The 17,073-nt window shown below is 38.6% G+C and overlaps 1 long non-coding RNA gene across 4 annotated transcripts in view; it reads left to right on the top strand.

The window, feature by feature from the left end:
- LOC105369844 (uncharacterized) overlaps positions 1 to 17,073 on the top strand; it is a 310,508-nt gene that overhangs the window by 35,493 nt on the left and 257,942 nt on the right. The window lies entirely within an intron of this gene.

Genomic DNA, 17,073 nt, shown 5'->3' with positions numbered 1-17,073 from the left:
GCAGGAGAATGGCGTGAACCCGGGAGGCGGAGCTTGCAGTGAGCCGAGATCGCGCCACTGCACTCCAGCCTGGGTGACAGAGTGAGACTCCGTCTTAAAAAACAAACAAAAAAAAGCAAAACAGACGGCATAAACTTATGGTATCAATAAATATAACATATTACTGTAAATACATTTTTTCTCAAGTTTTTTAAATAACATTTTTTCCTCTAGGTTACTTTATTGTAAGAATACAGTACCTAATACATATACCATGCAAAATATGTGTTAATCAACTCTTCATGTTACCAGTAAGGTTTCCAGTCACCAATAGGCTATTAGTAGTGAAGCTTTGGAGAGTTCCATTATGCTCGGATTTTTTGACTGTGTGAGGATTGACACCCATAACTTCTGCATTGTTCAAGGGTCAAACGTATTTACCTTATAGGGGTAATGAGAGTTTAAATGAATGAATATGTGTAAAGCTTGCAGAAGAATGTCTGGCACACAGTACCAGATAAGTATTAGCTATTATTATAATTACACTCCTGTGGTTTACTTTTGTAGTGAGTTTGTGTTTAAAGTGCTTGGGGGTGAAGAAGATTTTACTGTTAATCACTTTTACAAATATTGAAAGTTGGATTTTCTCTTCTTCTCCTGAAGAATGTGTGTGTGTGCATACATATATACTATGTGTTTGTGTACATAGTGATTTTTGAAAACAGGGTGCTTGTTAATTTCTGTATTACCCAATCATGGATTGAATTTTCTTTTTTGGTAATGCTGAAAGTATTTTACTAATAGGGCAGTTTCTTTCTCAACTTAATCACCAGAGAGAGAATGTAATTCAAATGTGGAAACAGTTTCAGTGAAGGTGTGAGCCCACAGAGTTTTCTTTATATTAGGGCCACAGGAACAGTTTAATTTTCTCTGTTATGTTCCAAATACATCTCAAGCTGTACTGGGAATATCACTATAAAATAAACGGGCTCTTGCAATTCAGCACCTCCTACGCACAGCTAATTAGATAGAATAAGAGGCAAGGAGCAGACAAGCATCAGGCTCATACATATTACACATTTTTATTAATAACATACAAATGATCTTAATGAAACCTGCATTTTCCATGAGTAACAATCTCACACAGTTTTGTTCCCTTGTCCAGGAGCTCCAGAGGGAATGGAAATGCCCTGAAATTTTAATGGTTTAACAGACTCTCATTATTTTGCAGCCTCTCACTCTAGCTTCTCCCAGTTTCTAGGACCCAAGTGACTAAATGAAAGACCCATGTTTCCTCTGGGCTCTACATGAGCTTGTGATCCTAGAAACTCCCAGAGACAAGTCTTGGCATTAAAAAAAGAAAATCGCAAATCAAAACCCTAATAATTCACAAGGTCTAAACTAGCTCTCTCTGTTTTCTGTTCCCCTCACTCCCTTCATTGTGTTTACCCAAATTTGTGAGTATATATTTTTCCTGTGATAATTTTTTAAGAAGTCTGTCTCAGCTGGGTGCGGTGTCTCACGCCTGTAATCCCAGCACTTTGGGAGGCTGAGGCGGGCGGATCACCTCAGGCCAGGAGTTTGAGACCAACGTGGTGAAACTCCTTCTCTAAAAATACAAAAAAATTAGCCTGGCTTGTGGACAGGCATCTGTAATCCCAGCTACTCGGGAGGCTGAGGCAGGAGAATTGCTTGAACCTGGGAGGCAGAGGCTGCAGTGAGTTGAGATTGCGCCACTGCACTCCAGCCTGGGCAATAAAAGCAAAACTTCATCTCAAAAAAAAAAAAAAGCCTGTCTCCCACTGTATATGCAAGCTCCTGAAATCAGGTATCATCTCTATCTCTGGCTATTGCCAGAGCTATGCACACCTCTGACATACTGTAGGTTCTATATGATTTGATGTGTGTGCCACGTGGATGCTACAGCTGGAGCTTTTATGACTTCTTCATTAAATTGAAAAATTATTTATACATAATACAATTTACACTTTGAAGCATATGCTTTCATGTGTTTGACAAATGTATGGAGTCACATAATCTTTACCATAATCGAGATAAAGAAGCGTTACATCAATCCCCAAATTCCTTCATGCCCGTCTTCACTCAGTCTTCTACTTCACTTTCACCCCTACCCCCTGGAAATACCAATCTGTATTACCTTCCTATAATATTGCCTTTTCTAGACTATCATATAAATGAAATGATATACTGGGTAGTCTTTTGTGTCTGGCTTCTTTCACATAGCCTAATGCTTTTGAAATTCATCCATGTTGTTTTGTGTATTAATAGTTTGTTACTTTTTATTACTGAAAAGTAGTATAGTAGATTCTTAACAATTATTTGTGGGAAATATAAACAGGAAACAGATTTGGAAATATACCTACAAATGGATTAAATGAGAAAATTATAAACATCTGTATCTGCAAATCCTTGCTGTGTGTCAGGATAATAGGTTAATAATATTTTAATGGTAATCACTGTAAATCTTAACTCTAGGTTTTTTTTTTTTTGAGACGGAGTTTCACTCTGTCGCCCAGGCTGGAGTATAGTGGCGAGATCTCGGCTCACTGCAACTTCTGCCTTCTGGGTTCAAACAATTCTCCTGCCTCAGCCTCCCGAGTAGCTGGGACTACAGGTGCATGCCACCATGCCTGGCTAATGTTTTGTATTTTTATTAGAGACAGGGTTTCACCATGCTGGCCAGGTCTTGATCTGCCCACCTTGGCCTCCCAAAGTGCTGGGATTACAGACATGAGTCACTGCGCCCAGCCCTAGGTCTTGCTTTTAATCTTCAGATTTTTGATGGAGTATTGTCCAAATAATTGGACAATTTAATTAAATTGAATAATTTAAGCATCATTTCTAGTTGAAATGAAATAATGTTCTGTTTCTTTGATACCTAGACATTAACATCTAGATATTGTCTCATGAGATCTATAGTGGAGACCCTGATACATAAGGGAAGCTGATCTTTTCATCATAGATTATCCCCATTGGTATAGTGGGCACTGCAATTTTCAAGTAAAAATTTCACATTTCAGCTAAAATGATATGAGAATTATCTTAGATGATGAAAAAATAACTTAAAATGCATTGTTTGCCCAATCTTACCCTTAGAAAAATAAAAACCAATATTGGATGCTTTTGGATGAATCCAGGTTTCATCTTGGATTCTTTTTTAAAATTATTATTTATCTATATTCTTAGTTTTTAGAGATGGGGTCTCACTCTGTTGCTCAGACTGGAGTGCAATGGCGCAGTCATATGTAACTGCAGCCTCAAACTTCTGGGCTCAAGAGATCCTCTTGCCTCTCCTCTTGGATTCTTGAAGAGTATTTTCCTCAGTGGTTACTGGGACTATGACAAAGAAAATGTTGCTATTTCAAAGAGTGCCCTAATGTTAAGTCATTGAGATAAAAGGAAAATCAGGTCTGTCCTTTCTGTCACAACATAAATGATTAAGGAGAGGCAGAATGTGTGAGAAAAGAGTTACTGGATTAAGAATGAGATGTGGATTCTACTTAGCCAAAGTGATTTAACCTCTTGACAGTAGTGTTCTCTGGTAAAATTTGGATAAATAATTATTAAGTCCTGCTTATCTCTTGGGCTTGCTGCTTATTTAAAATGCTACTAGCAATAATATTCTCTTTGGTTTGCCTGTTCTTCTACTGGAAACACTCCTGTATAATAGTTGAACATGTTGACCTCTCCCCTAACACAGTGGTAGAGATTACTGTGGGGAAAATGATTTCTTCCTTCACTCCTTTGCAATAAAGGTCTTCATGAGCATAGAAGAGTCATATAAAAAATATCTTGTGTTTTAACTCAAAAATGACATATGACAATATACAAGCTTATTTGTAAAATTCTTCACATTAGCTTTGGAAAACTACTAACTAGACAGTAAATTCCCAAGATCTTGCTTATTTACTTACTATGTGCCTGGCACTATGCTAGGAATATGACATATATTATCTCATTTAACCATCACAACAATCCTCCAGGGTAGGTAATGTTATGGGTCATATTTTAGAGATGAGGAAACAGGCTTAAAGATGTTAAATAACTTGCTCAAGGTCATCAAAAATAGAAATGGGATTGAAATCCAGCTCTTTCTCTCTCTCTCTCTCTCTTTTTTTTTCTTTTTTTTTTGAGATGAGTCTCTCTCTGTTGCCGAGGTTGAAGTGCAGTGGCACAGTCTCGGCTCACAGCAGTCTCTGCCTCGCGGGTTCAAGCGATTCTCCTGCCTCAGCCTCCTGAGTAGCTGGGATTATAGGTGTGCACCCCCACGCCTGGCTAATTTTCATATTTTTAGTAGAGACGGGGTTTCACCATGTTGGCCAGGCTGTTCTAGAACTCCTGACCTCAGGTGATCCACCTGCCTTGGCCTCCCAAGGCTAGCTCTCTTTAATTCCAAAGGCAGCCCAGACTCTTAAGCAGTGATATGCTGGTAAACTGGATTTCTAGTTTCTACTTTTTGGTTACTATGAGTAATGCTACTATGAACATATTTTGAAATCTCTTGGGCATATACCTAGGAATAGAATTGCTACACGCATGGTAACTCTGGTAAACTTTTTGAGGAATTGTCAAACCATTTCCTAAAGCAGCTGAAATATTTTACATTCCCACCAGTAATGTATGAGAGTTCAAATTTCTCCATATCCTTGAAAACAATTCTTATTGTCTGGCTTTTTTACTTTAACCATTCTAGTGTGTGTGAAGTAGTATCTCATGGTTTTGATTTTTATTTCTCTAATGATAAACGTTGAGCATCTTTTCATGTGCCTATTGGACGCTTGTATATCCTCTTTGGAGAAATGCCCTTTTATATCCTTTGCTTGTTTAAACATTATATCCTTTTCACCTATGTCTATGTTTATGACAGTAACAAAATTTTGATGATTATAGCTAGGTAGAAACTTTTAAAATTCAGCAGGGTGAGTCTTCTAATTTCACTCTTCTTTTTCAAAATTTTTAGGTATTTTATTCATTTGGATGCTATTATAAATTGATTAATTTCCCTTAATTTTATTTTTAGGTTGTTCATTATTTGTCTTTTATGCTTGAGTTGTAAGGGTTCGTCACATATTTTGAATATGGGTCCTTATCAGATATATGATTTGTAAATATTTTCTCCAATTCTGTGGGTTTTCATTTTCTTGATGGTGTCCTTTGAAGTATGAAAGTTTTAAATTTTAATGTAGTCTAATTTATCTATTTTTTAACTTGTTGCTCATGTTTTTGGTGTTACATCTAATAAACCATTGCTGAACTCAAAAGGCCATGAAGATTTACACGTATGTTTTCTTCCAAGAGTTTTGTAGTTTTAGCTTCTACATTTAGGTCTTTGATCCATTTTGGGTTAATTTTGGATATGATTTGAGGTTGGGGGTCCAAATTCATTCTTTTGCATGTGGATTGCCAGCTGTTCCAATAGCAGTTGAAAAGGCTATTAGTTCCCCCATTGAATGATCCTGGAACCCCCTGTTGAAAATCAATTCATCATAAGTGTACAGGTTTATTTATAGATTTTTCAATTCTTTTCTGTTGATCTATATATCTATCTTTATGACAGTAGCAAAAGTTTGATGATTACAGCTAAGTTACAGCTATGTAACTTAAAATCCAAAAGTGTGAGTCTTCTAACTGTACTCTTCTTTTGCAAGATTTCTTTAGACTATGCTAGGTTGCTTGTGTTTTCATATAAATTTTAGAATTGGTTTGTTAATATCTGTAAAAATGGCAGCTGGAATTTTCATAGGTATTGTGTTAAATCTATAGATTAATAGTATTACCATCTGAACAATATGAAGTCTTCCAGTTCATGAAGATGGATGTCTTTCTATTTTTTTTTTAGGTCTTCATTAGTTTCTTTCAATGTTGTTTTGTAGTTTTCAGTATATGAGTCTTACACAACATGGATAAAATTTATTTTTAGGTATTTTATTCTTTTGGATGCTATTATAAATTTATTTTTCCCTTAGTTTATTTTTCGATTGTTCATTGCTAGTATATAGAAATACAATTGCTTTTGTGTATTGATTTTATAGCCTGCAATCTTAGTGAACTTCTATTAGTTTGAATAGGTTTTTTCATGGATTTCTAAGTACACTGTATATATAAGATTATGTTACCTGCGAATAGAGATATTTCTTTCTTTAAATCTGGATGCCTTTTATTTTCTTGCCTGATTGTACTGATTAGAACCTACAGTACAGTGATGAAAGAAGCTTTGAGAGCAGACATCTACCCTTTGTTTCTGATTTTAGAGGGAAAGTTTTCAGTCTTTCACCATTAAGTATGATGTCATCTGTGCGTTTTCATGTATGCTCTTTATCAGGTGGAGGAAATTCCCTCCTATTCCTAGTGTGTTTAGTATTTTCATCATGATAGGGTGTTAGATTTTATCAAATGCCTTGTGTCTCTGGATATGATTATGTGGTTTCTGTCCATTATTGCATTAATATGGCATATTACAATGATTTATTTTTCTCCCCATAGTTAATCAAACCACATTCCTGAAATAAATCCTACTTGGTCATGGTGTATAATTCTTTCATATGTTGCTGGATTCAGCTGCTACCTAATAATATTTTGTTAAGGATTTTGTTCATTGTACATTCATTGGTCTGTAGTTTTCTTATGATATCTTTTTCTAGTTCTGGTAGCAGGGTAATACTGGCCTCATAGAGTGAATTGGAATGTGTTCCCTCCTCTTTTGTTTCTTGGAAGAGTTCATGAAGGATTGGTGTTAGATTTTCTTTAAATACTTGGTAGAATTTTCCAGTGAAACCCTCTAAACCTTTGAGTGTTTCTTTTTTCTTGGTCAGTCTAGCTAAATAAAGATTTGTCAGTTTTGCTGTTTTCAAAGACTAACTTTTGGTTTCATCAATATTCTCTGTTTTTTTTTTAATTCTCTGTAGCATTTATTTCTACTCCAATCTCTACTATTTCTTTCCTTCTGCTGGATTGGGGCTTAATTTGCTCTTTTTTTTTTTTTTTCTAGGTGGGAGGTCTTAAGATGGAGGCTTAGGTTATTAATTTGATATCTTCCTTTTAAAAATTGGCATTTACAGGTATAAATTTCCTTCTAAGCACTGCTTTAGCTATATTCCACAAGTTTTGGCATGTGGTGCTCTCATTTCATTCGTTTCAAAATATTTTAAAATTTCCTTCTGATTTCTGTTTTATTAGTTCGGAATATATTGTTTAATTTTCACATATTTGTGTATTTCTCAAATTTCCTTCTGTTACTGATTTCTAGTTTTATTCCCTTGTGGTTAGAGAACATATTTTGCATGATTTCAATCTTTTTAAATGTATTGAGACTCATTTTAGGTCTAACACATTGTCTGCCCTGGAGAGTGTTCCATGTGCACTTGAAAAGAATGTGTATTCTGCTGTTGTTTGATGGAGTGCTCTGTAGATGTCTGTTAGATCTAGTAGGCTTATAATGTTGTCAATGTTTTCTATCCATTTTCTTGTTGGTCTTCTGCCTAGTTCTAGTTTTAGCTGTTTTTCATGGCTACCGATGTGGTGAGCCTATCTGTTTCCAAGGCTATTTCAGAGCTGTGGAAGGTAGAATGGGAAAAGCGCAAGTTAAATCTCCTAAAATCTTGCTGTGCTTATTATGATTCAGCCATTTATATTGAATAAATCTTTCTCAGATAGTTGTAAGCCTTTTGTTAATTTCCAGAGTTCTGAAAGAAGTTGATTTTCATGAAATTTACCCATATTTTCATTGATTTTATAGAGGAACAGATTTTTGGAGATCTTCTTTCTACCATTCCCACTGATATCCTGGAAATCACAGTTTTTAGTATAAAAGGTGATGGCTGATCTGAGCCATCTTTTTTTTTTTTAAGTCTTGTAAATACATTCTAAGTACATAAATACATTTTTCATAAGGCTGAATTGATCAAAATATGGTTGAGGATCATCTCCATCAGAATTACCTGGGAGGTACATTAAGGATACAGATTACTAGACCATGCCAGGCAGTATTAAACCAGCTTCTCTAGAGGGAGAACCCATTACCTTATTATTTTTCACAACTTCCATGTTATTTATATATATGTACAAACTAAAATTGAAAAATCACTGACATGTGGTATTCTACAACTGATGTAATTCAGTGCTTACATACTGTCTATTGAGTTGTAAAATTGATTTTGAGCATCTTGAAATTCAGCAACAGGAACTTTGGCAGATAATAACGCTTTCCTTAAGTTTTACATTTATCAATTATACTTTAACATTGTTTTAACATAGCATATCATGAAAATATCAAGAGTTATGCATCTACAATTTGGTAGTGGCTCATGGGCTTTCATTCTGTCATTTATTTCTCAAGGGTATGATTTTTTACCCCTATTTTAAAGGCAAAGAACCTGCCAAAGGCAAAGAATGGTCATGTGACTAACAAGTGACAGAACTAGAATTTAAAAGAAGTATTCGTTGTACTAAATCCCATGTTCTTTCTGCTTTACCTTCCTAGTTCTCATAGGCTACATCTTTATTAGCCACTTCTCACTTGAACATAATGATTATTTTGCCAATAAATCCACAGCACATATTCACTTCAATTTCTTTTAAAATACTTTAGCACATTAGATGTCTTTCTTACCTCTTTGTAATGCAATTCAACTTCTCTTTGTCTGAAAGCTACAAAATAATTGCAAATAAAAATGAGTTGTATGTCACAGACATGAAATGTGGTATGCATGAGCAAGGAGGCAAGACAATTTGGAGCCTCTCTGTAGGCCAAGGGCTGAATTTCATAGCAGCTCTAAAATGAAGGTGAAAGAAAGGAATTGAGGCCCTTAAGCAAACCAAATCAAATTAGTTCAAAGAAAAGGAAATGACTTTTCACATTAATAGAGATGAGCTGGCATGCACATGCTAAACACCCTCATATTTTCAAATGACTATGTGTCACTTTCTCAAGGCTGTGGGCAATGGGTGTATATTTTAACAGATGATTTCAAAATAACAAATTTTCTGAGTGAGCTGGCCATCATTTCCTGGTGCAATTTTTAAGCTATGGGGCTATCTCTTAGAATTCTGAATTGTGTTCATCACTTGTCAAAGGAGAGAGCATGGCACAGAGGGGTGCCCCTGTAGCCCCCGACGTACCTAGAAAATTGGATGTCCCACTTCAGAGACTTTTAGAGCTGTCAGCTTATGATTTTGTTCTCACCCTTTCTGTGCCTGCGCAAAATTCCTCAGGTCAATTATGTGTGATAGAGGACTCGAGAAATCCTACTGTACGGAATTAATTTTGTGCTCTGAATTTTATCAGATTGGTTCATGTATGGGTATATATTCCTTACTCAGTGCCAATTTTTAGATAAATAGACTCAGAACTCTTTGAAAAGAGGGACTGTGTCTCATTTAGTCTTGCACTATCAAAACCTAACATGGCACCTTGCTCATAGTAGGCACTTGAAGCGTTTGAAGAATAAGCAGCTGTATTCATGATCTATGAATACAAATTCACAGATCATACTTCTCATCTGTTCTCAACCTATTGCTTTATTAGAAAATAGACTTTTTAACAGTCCAATAATAATTCAGTAAGTATAAAGGTAAAGAATAAAAATAAAATGAAAAATCTATGTGCCTACCTACTTTGAAAAACAAGAATGTTATAGTTAACTTTGACGTTTCCTGAGTAACCAAACTCTTTTCTCTCCACTGTATGCCCCACCCCAGAGGTAACTACCATCTTTAACTTTGAGTTTATCATTTAGTCTAGTGCTTTTGTTGTTGTCATTGTTGTGTTGTTTGTTTGTTTTCTGAGATGGAGTTTCACTCTTGTTGCCCAGGCTGGAGTGCAATGGCGCTATCTCAGCTCACTGAAACCTCCACCTCCTGGGTTCAAAGGATTCTCCTGCCTCAGTCTCCCGAGTAGCTGGGATTACAGGTGCCCACCACTACATCCAGCTAATTTTTGTGTTTTTAATAGAGATGGGATTTTGCCATGTTGGCCAGGCTGGTCTTGAACTCCTGACCTCAGGTGATCTGCCTACTTTGGCCTCCCAAATGCTGGGATTACAGGCGTGAGCCACTGCGCCCGGCCCTAGTGCTTTTATATTAAAAATAATTGTGCCTCTAATCATTAGGGAAATGAAAATCAAAACCATAATGTGATACCATCTCACGCCAGTCAGAATGGCGATTATTAAAAAGTCAAAAAAACAAGAGATGCTGGCAAGGTTGTGGAGGAAAAGAAATGCTTCTACACTGTTGGTGGGAATGTAAATTAGTTCAACCATTGGGGAAGACAGAGTGATGATTCCTCAAAGACCTAGAACCAGAAATACCATTTGACCCTCCAATCCCATTACTGGATATATACCCAATGGAATATAAATCATTCTATTACAAAGATACATGCATGCGTATATTCACTGAAGCACTATTCACAACAGCAAAGACATGGAATCAACCCAAATGCCCATGAATGATAGACTGGATAAAGAAAATGTGGTACATATACACCATGGAATACTAGGCAGCTATAAAAAAAATGAGATCATGCCCTTTGCAGAGACATGGATGGAGCTGGAAGCCATTATTGTCAGCAAACTAATGCAGGAACAGAAAACCAAACACTGCATGTTCTCACTTATAAGTGGGAGCTGAATGACACAATGGAGAGAACAACACACACTGGGGCCTGTTGTGGGGTTAGGGGGAGGGAGAACATCAGGAAGAATAGCTAATGGATGTTGGGCTTAATACCTAGGTGATGGGTTGGTCTGTGCAGCAAACCGCCATGGCACACATTTATCTGTGTAGCAAACCTGGACATCCTGCCCATGTCCCCCAAACTTAAAAGTTGAAGAAAAAACAAATAATAATTTGTTGTTTCATTATTAAAATGTTGCTCTTTTTTGGCTGGGTACGGCAGCTCACACCTGTAATCCCAGCACTTTGGGAGGCTGAAGCAGGCAGATCACCTGAGGTCAGGACTTCAAGATCAGCCTGACCAACATGGGGAAACCCCATCTCTACTAAAAATACAAAATTAGCTGGGTATGGTGGCGCATGCCTGTAATCCTAGCTACTGGGAGGCTGAGGCAGGAGAATCACTTGAACCCAGGAGGTGGAGTTTGTGGTGAGCCGAGATTGTACCATTGTACTCCAGCCTGGACAATAAGAGCGAAACTCCGTCTCAAAAATAATAATAATAAAAAATAAATAAATAAATAAAATGTTGCTCTTTTTAGTAGAGAGGGTATAAGTAATTTCTGTTTAAATTATCAATAACCCTTATTGATGGGCTCTAAGTCCATAAAGGGTGTGACATAAAGGTCAAAGAAGCTTGCCTTCTCAAAATATATTTAAATCTAAATAGGAGTTTTCATAGCCTTCCCCCAGTGGAGTCTACAATATGGGATGAATAAAGGAGAGATTTTTGGCTGAGGGCTGTTCTTAGTGTCTCTGTACATTCCCACTTGACCTCACATGCTGCTGTTGTGAATGAGACTCTTTACTGGCTGGAGACCTAATGCCCCCTAAGAGCATGGACTTACGGCACGAGGAAACATGGCTACAATTCTTATTATTTAAATAGCTACTTCTCTTGGATTTGTTGATTATAACAGCTTCATCACCTTGTAGATATGGTAGGCAAAAGCCACGTTAAAAGGTAGGCTTGATAAGTCAAAGTTGTTTTCTCACAGAAGATGAAAGAAGTGATTTATAGTTTACTCACAGAGAAGAGTTTGAGACCACATGAGAGAAAGGCTTTTCTTCTAGGAAACTGTAGGAACCTGATAGACTTTCCAGAAGAGGGAAGCTTTGCTCTGGTTGTTCTTTCTCATGGGGGTAGATTTCCTACTTTTTCACGGCTTCTTTTCCTTGAGTAGGACTAGGTGTTTTTTTTGTTTTTTTGTTTTTTGTTTTTTGTAAGAAAGAGTCTCACTCTGTCACCAGGCTGGAGGGCAGTGACATGATCTTGACTCACTGCAACCCCTGCCTCCCAGGTTCAAGTGATTTTCCTGCTTCAGCCTCCTGAGTAGTTGGGACTACAGGCATGTGCCACCATGCCCAGCTAATTTTTTTTTTTTTGTATTTTTAGTAGAGACGGGGTTATACCATGTTGGCCAGGCTGGTCTTGAACTCCTGACCTCAGATGATCCACCTGCTTTGGCCTCCCAAAGTGTTGGGATTACAGGCATGAGCCACCATGCCCTGCCAGGACTAATTTTTTTCTTTGTTCACCAGGGTGAGTAAATACAATCTTTCAAATACTCTCAAGAGTAGGCCTGCCTCAGTTTTGCTTGACATTGAATGAATATGATTCAATTCTCAAATACCTTGGTATTGAAAGTGGGGTATAGGTGGTCTATTATATTGACAGTATTTTTACATTAGTCTTATTCATGTAGCACATATTTGTTGAGCATGAAATGTGTGCTAGATGCTAGCAATATAACAGGATATAGAATAGATATAGCCTCTGCCTTCAAAAAGTCTATAGTCTACTAAGGGAGGCAGACATTAATTCTAATTGCAGTAAGTGCTATGAAGAAAAAGCATACATCATTTTGCTAAGTGTCATGGAGAGGAACCTCTTTTCCACCTGATTCCTATTTCCTTGTGGAGAGGTATCAATTAATATAGCACTCCTGGCTTCTCTGAATGGGGCATGCCTAGCTTAGCCTTTCTCATCCCTTTGCTTTTGGGATGGGCTTGTCTGCTCTGAGTCTCTGCCTCTGAGTGGGAATTAGGGTTGGGGCCTTCCAGGTTTCCGGTGCTGCCGTGACTGCATAGGTCTATCTAATTCTGCCAGTTAAATTAGGAAATCCACTGATACCCTGCACTTAAGTACAGTCCCCAACCTAGCCTTTATTAGTATTTTGTTGATAGTTGACTGTCATCTGTTGATCCTATTGTCTCTCTCAATTCAGAATTTAGGTGGAATAGGTGGTGTTATTATTGGGTCCCTCAAACCTCAATAGTAAGAATCAATTTGACGCTTATACTAGGGGAACTGACAGAGTGTAATTTCTGGAGCAGTGTAATTTCTGGACCTGTGGTTTTCAGAATTCTGCTGCTCACGGGAAGGTGGATTGTAGTGAGCTGACAGGGCCGAATTCTGCCCCCTTCACCAGTGCCTGCAGTGATGACAGATTTGTTTTGATCTATTTTACATATTAAGCTTCCACATAAAAATTCTGAGCTTAAAAATAATTTAAAACCAGTGCCTTGAACTTGTTGCTTTCAAACATTTTAAACCACAATCCTCAGTCATAGTTACATTTTATATTATTCAAACTCGTATATATTATATACATGTGTATACTGACCTTACTATCTGTGGTATAGTTTATTGCATTTCCATTTCATACCAAAGAGAAGTTTGGTTAAAACTCATGGAATTGATTCCACAACCCTCATTACATGAAATTTAAAAAATTCTGCACAAGACCATGTTTATTTTATCTCAGGCCTCTTGTCTAGTAAAGACCTGACCTTCCCCTGATCATATCCCTTTTGCCCCATGGGCCTTATTTCTTTTGGAGCTCAATATATCATTCATTTTCTGTATACAAATACATTAGAGTTAAACTTATGAAATTACCAGCCCTTCTGAGAAAGTACTTTTTCAACATTGTTATTATTGCTGAGGATTTCAACAATAGCAAAATAATGTATTACATTCCAAACTTGGCAAATGTTACTAAATATTTCTCTTGAGGCTCATTTTCAACCATATTATTATTACTGGCCTGTTTTTTTGGGTTTAATGAGATAATTTTCTATCAAATCATGGTAGCGAACAGAGCTGACACAAATTCTCAAGTTTGTGGTAAAGTTTATACTCCATTGGAAAGTTTCTTTTATATAACAATATTGGCAGGGCTCATGTTTTAGAATGAATTATTTATGTGGGCCCATTCACCACTGCTACCCCATTCTACACAGCATGACATCCAGAAAATGGCAGTTTTGATGAGCATGATGAAGGCAGTATCATTTTTGTGCTTGATACAGTGGCCGGAAAGTTCAGGTCTGGGTGGCATCCTGAGAAAGGGAGCAAGGCAGTGTGGTGATGCCAGGTGCAAGAAGGTGGGGGTGTCCAGAGGGAAGTGAGATGCTCTGCAAAAAAGTCAGAGGACATCTCAGAAAATAGAGCCACCTTCCTGATGTAGCTTCCAACAGTCCTGTCTCCTAATCCCTTCCAGCCCCCAAATATATGAAGCTGACTTCAGAGAGATAAACACCAAGGAGTCAACCCATTACTTAGCTTTTGTTTCCAAAATAAGACATCTTCTAGTTAGGAGAGCTTCTGACCGAGGGGCAAGTGGTTTATCCTCAAGATGGTAGAAAAGCAATGTGCATGCTCAGTAAAACTTGGCCTCACCAGATGCCAGGCTCAGAGAGTCCTCTTTCCTGCCTTTCTTGCGTCACTGCCTGTTTGCTTGAAACAAGCAGTAGAAATAGTCAAACACAGGTGCTGGCTGCACTGGCAGCACAGCCTCTCCTCCAGATTCAGGCTCTCCCTGGATGGCACTGGCTGGTAACCACAGAGTGAAGATCTAATCAAGCCAATGCTGGCTCCCTGCCCACCACTAGCTGGTTTTATTCAGCTTCCCCAGTGTTGATAATAAAACACAAGTGAGCCTTCAGTTTCTTGCCTGCTAGTTCCAAAGCCAGCATTTGCTGCATGCTCTCTGACTTGCAATTTGGTGGCATCCTGGACAGGACACTTGCCTACAATCAGCACACCTGGCTTCTTTGTCTAGGTTTTGCCTCCAACACATGGTACACATCACTTCAGCTACCTGTGCTTTATTTCAAATGGAGATACTAACCCCTAATGTTGGCCAAGCTTTGTGATTATTTATCTCAGGGATTTATCAGGGTTGAAAGCAGAAAAAGCTTTAATGAAATTCAAGACTCTGTCCTAAGATCCTAAATGGTTGAAGTGTGTCCTGGAGGGGGCTGGAGTGGAACAGGCCATATGAGAAACAATAAGGCTGGAAGGAGAGATTTCTGGTGACTGGGAGGGAGAGACAGATCCTGCCCTCAGAATTTGTACCCTACTCAGGTTGTGAGAAGGCCTCAGGGGGGAAGTGTTGACAGGAAGGGCACCTGTAGGAGGCTTGGGTTCTCCCACTTGTGTTCCCCTGTTTCATCTGAGATTTCTAGTCTTGGCAAAGAAGCAGCAGAACCTGGGATAATGGGTGTCTCAGCCACAGCCAGTGTGGACCCGCAACTGACACCTTGAGGGCATTCCCCATCTTGAAGCTAGTTAAGACCCCAGGACTTTTACATATTTGCAGGAGGAAACCCAAGAAAGCGTAGGTTTAACTTCTAGGTCCAGCGAGAGTGGAGCTTGGAGTCAGAATTATAGTGATTTCAAGAATGGGAAGAGTAGGTAATGCACAATTTTTTGCATACCCAAGTGAATGGACTGAGGTTCTTAGTCTATATGTGTGTCACTGTATTTACTCAGTGAACTCTCAGAAAACCTTGTACTTCTTTTCTGCACACACTGAGCTTCTCTGCCAGGTGCCTTCTGAGGACATGAGAGCTTCATGCTAGGCTGGCCTTGATGCAGTGTGGGCAAGGCCTGGAGCAAAGAGTCATGAAAGTTGGAGGCTTGGAGTCCTGCCCACGGGTGGATGAGTGGCCCAGGCAGGCCAGGACTAAGTGCTGAAAGCCCATCAGTGCAGAATCATCCCATCGGGGCAGCATCGGGGTAACAGTCAAGCAGCAGCTCTTTGCCCAGTCTCCTTTTGCACCAGCTGTAGCTATTTGGGACTGATATGTTCTCAGGGCTTCCTCAGCCCCAAGTCCATGACCCCGTTTGTGCTTAAGGTGAACAGACGTCTCTCCTTTTAACAGAGGGGCAGGAACCCAGGAGACTGCTGAGCCAAAGCTTCTCCCCAGCTGTAATGCTTTCCTGAAATAGAGACTTTGCCTTGGCTCTTAGACCCAGCTCCATACTTTACTGTTCCCAGTTAGTCATGGAAAGACGAAGGTGCCTAAAAATAAGCACCATCTGGGCCCACAAGGTTCAGCAGGGCACACTCACAGCTAATGGAGAAAGTTTCAGTCTGCCTTTGTGGTCCTGGAAACCCAGCTGTGATGCGCTTGCCAGAAGGGCCCTTCAAGCCGTGTTATTCTGAGTGTCTCTCAGGGCAGCCTTTGCAAAGGCAACTTTTCACTGCCTGTAAGTTCTTGAGGTCACCCAAGGATAGCAGCTTCAGGGAAAATATGAGAAAAAATGTATTTTTAGTGCATTTTCTCATGTCTTTGTGTTGCCCCGCTCTCTTTCATGCTTCTGCAGTCCCCACTCCACTCTCCATTAGCTGCCTAGCTTCTGTGCCTGGTCATCTTCCCAGATGCCCAGAGACTTCTATGATGCCCTGAGCCTCCCTTTCCTAACACCCTTTTGGCTCTCCTCTTTATAAAAACTGACACATCTGTCCTTCAGAGAATGAAGCTAATCTGATAAATTAATTCATAACAAAGTGTAAAGGAGGATGGTTTAAGATGACCTGTTATACAGAAAATGGTTGCACTTTTATAGTGGTTAAAAAACATATACAATTTACCATCTTAACCATTTTTAAGTGGACAGTTCTGTAGGGTTCAGCTTATCTCTAATGGTATGAAATGGATCCCCGGAAGGTTTTCGTCTTGCAGAACTGAACCTCTGTAGTTATTAAACGATTCCTTACTTCCCCCTCCTCCCAAACTCTGGTAACCACCATTCTGCATTTTCATATCTATACATTTGACTACTTTAGATACCTCGTATAAGTGGAATCGTATGGTTATTGTCCTTTTGTGACTGGCCTGTTTTACTTAACATACTGTCCTCAAGGTTCATTTCTGTCTTAGCACATAACAAGATGTCCTTCCTTCTTAAGGGAGCATGGTATTCCATTGCATGTACATAGCACATTCTGTTTATCCATTCATCTATTAATGGACATTTGGGTTGCTTCCACCTCTTTGCTATTGGGAATAGTGCTGCTAAGAACATGAGTGTTCACATATCTCTTTGAGATCCTGCTTTCAATTATTTTGGAAATATACCCAGAAATGGGATTTCTGGACCACATG

The sequence above is a fragment of the Homo sapiens genome, chromosome 12 (genome assembly GCF_000001405.40).
Source record: "Homo sapiens chromosome 12, GRCh38.p14 Primary Assembly".
Taxonomy (NCBI): Eukaryota; Metazoa; Chordata; class Mammalia; order Primates; family Hominidae; genus Homo; species Homo sapiens.
The sequence above is the reverse complement of the archived record's forward strand: the minus strand, read 5'-3'. Positions and strand labels throughout refer to the sequence as shown.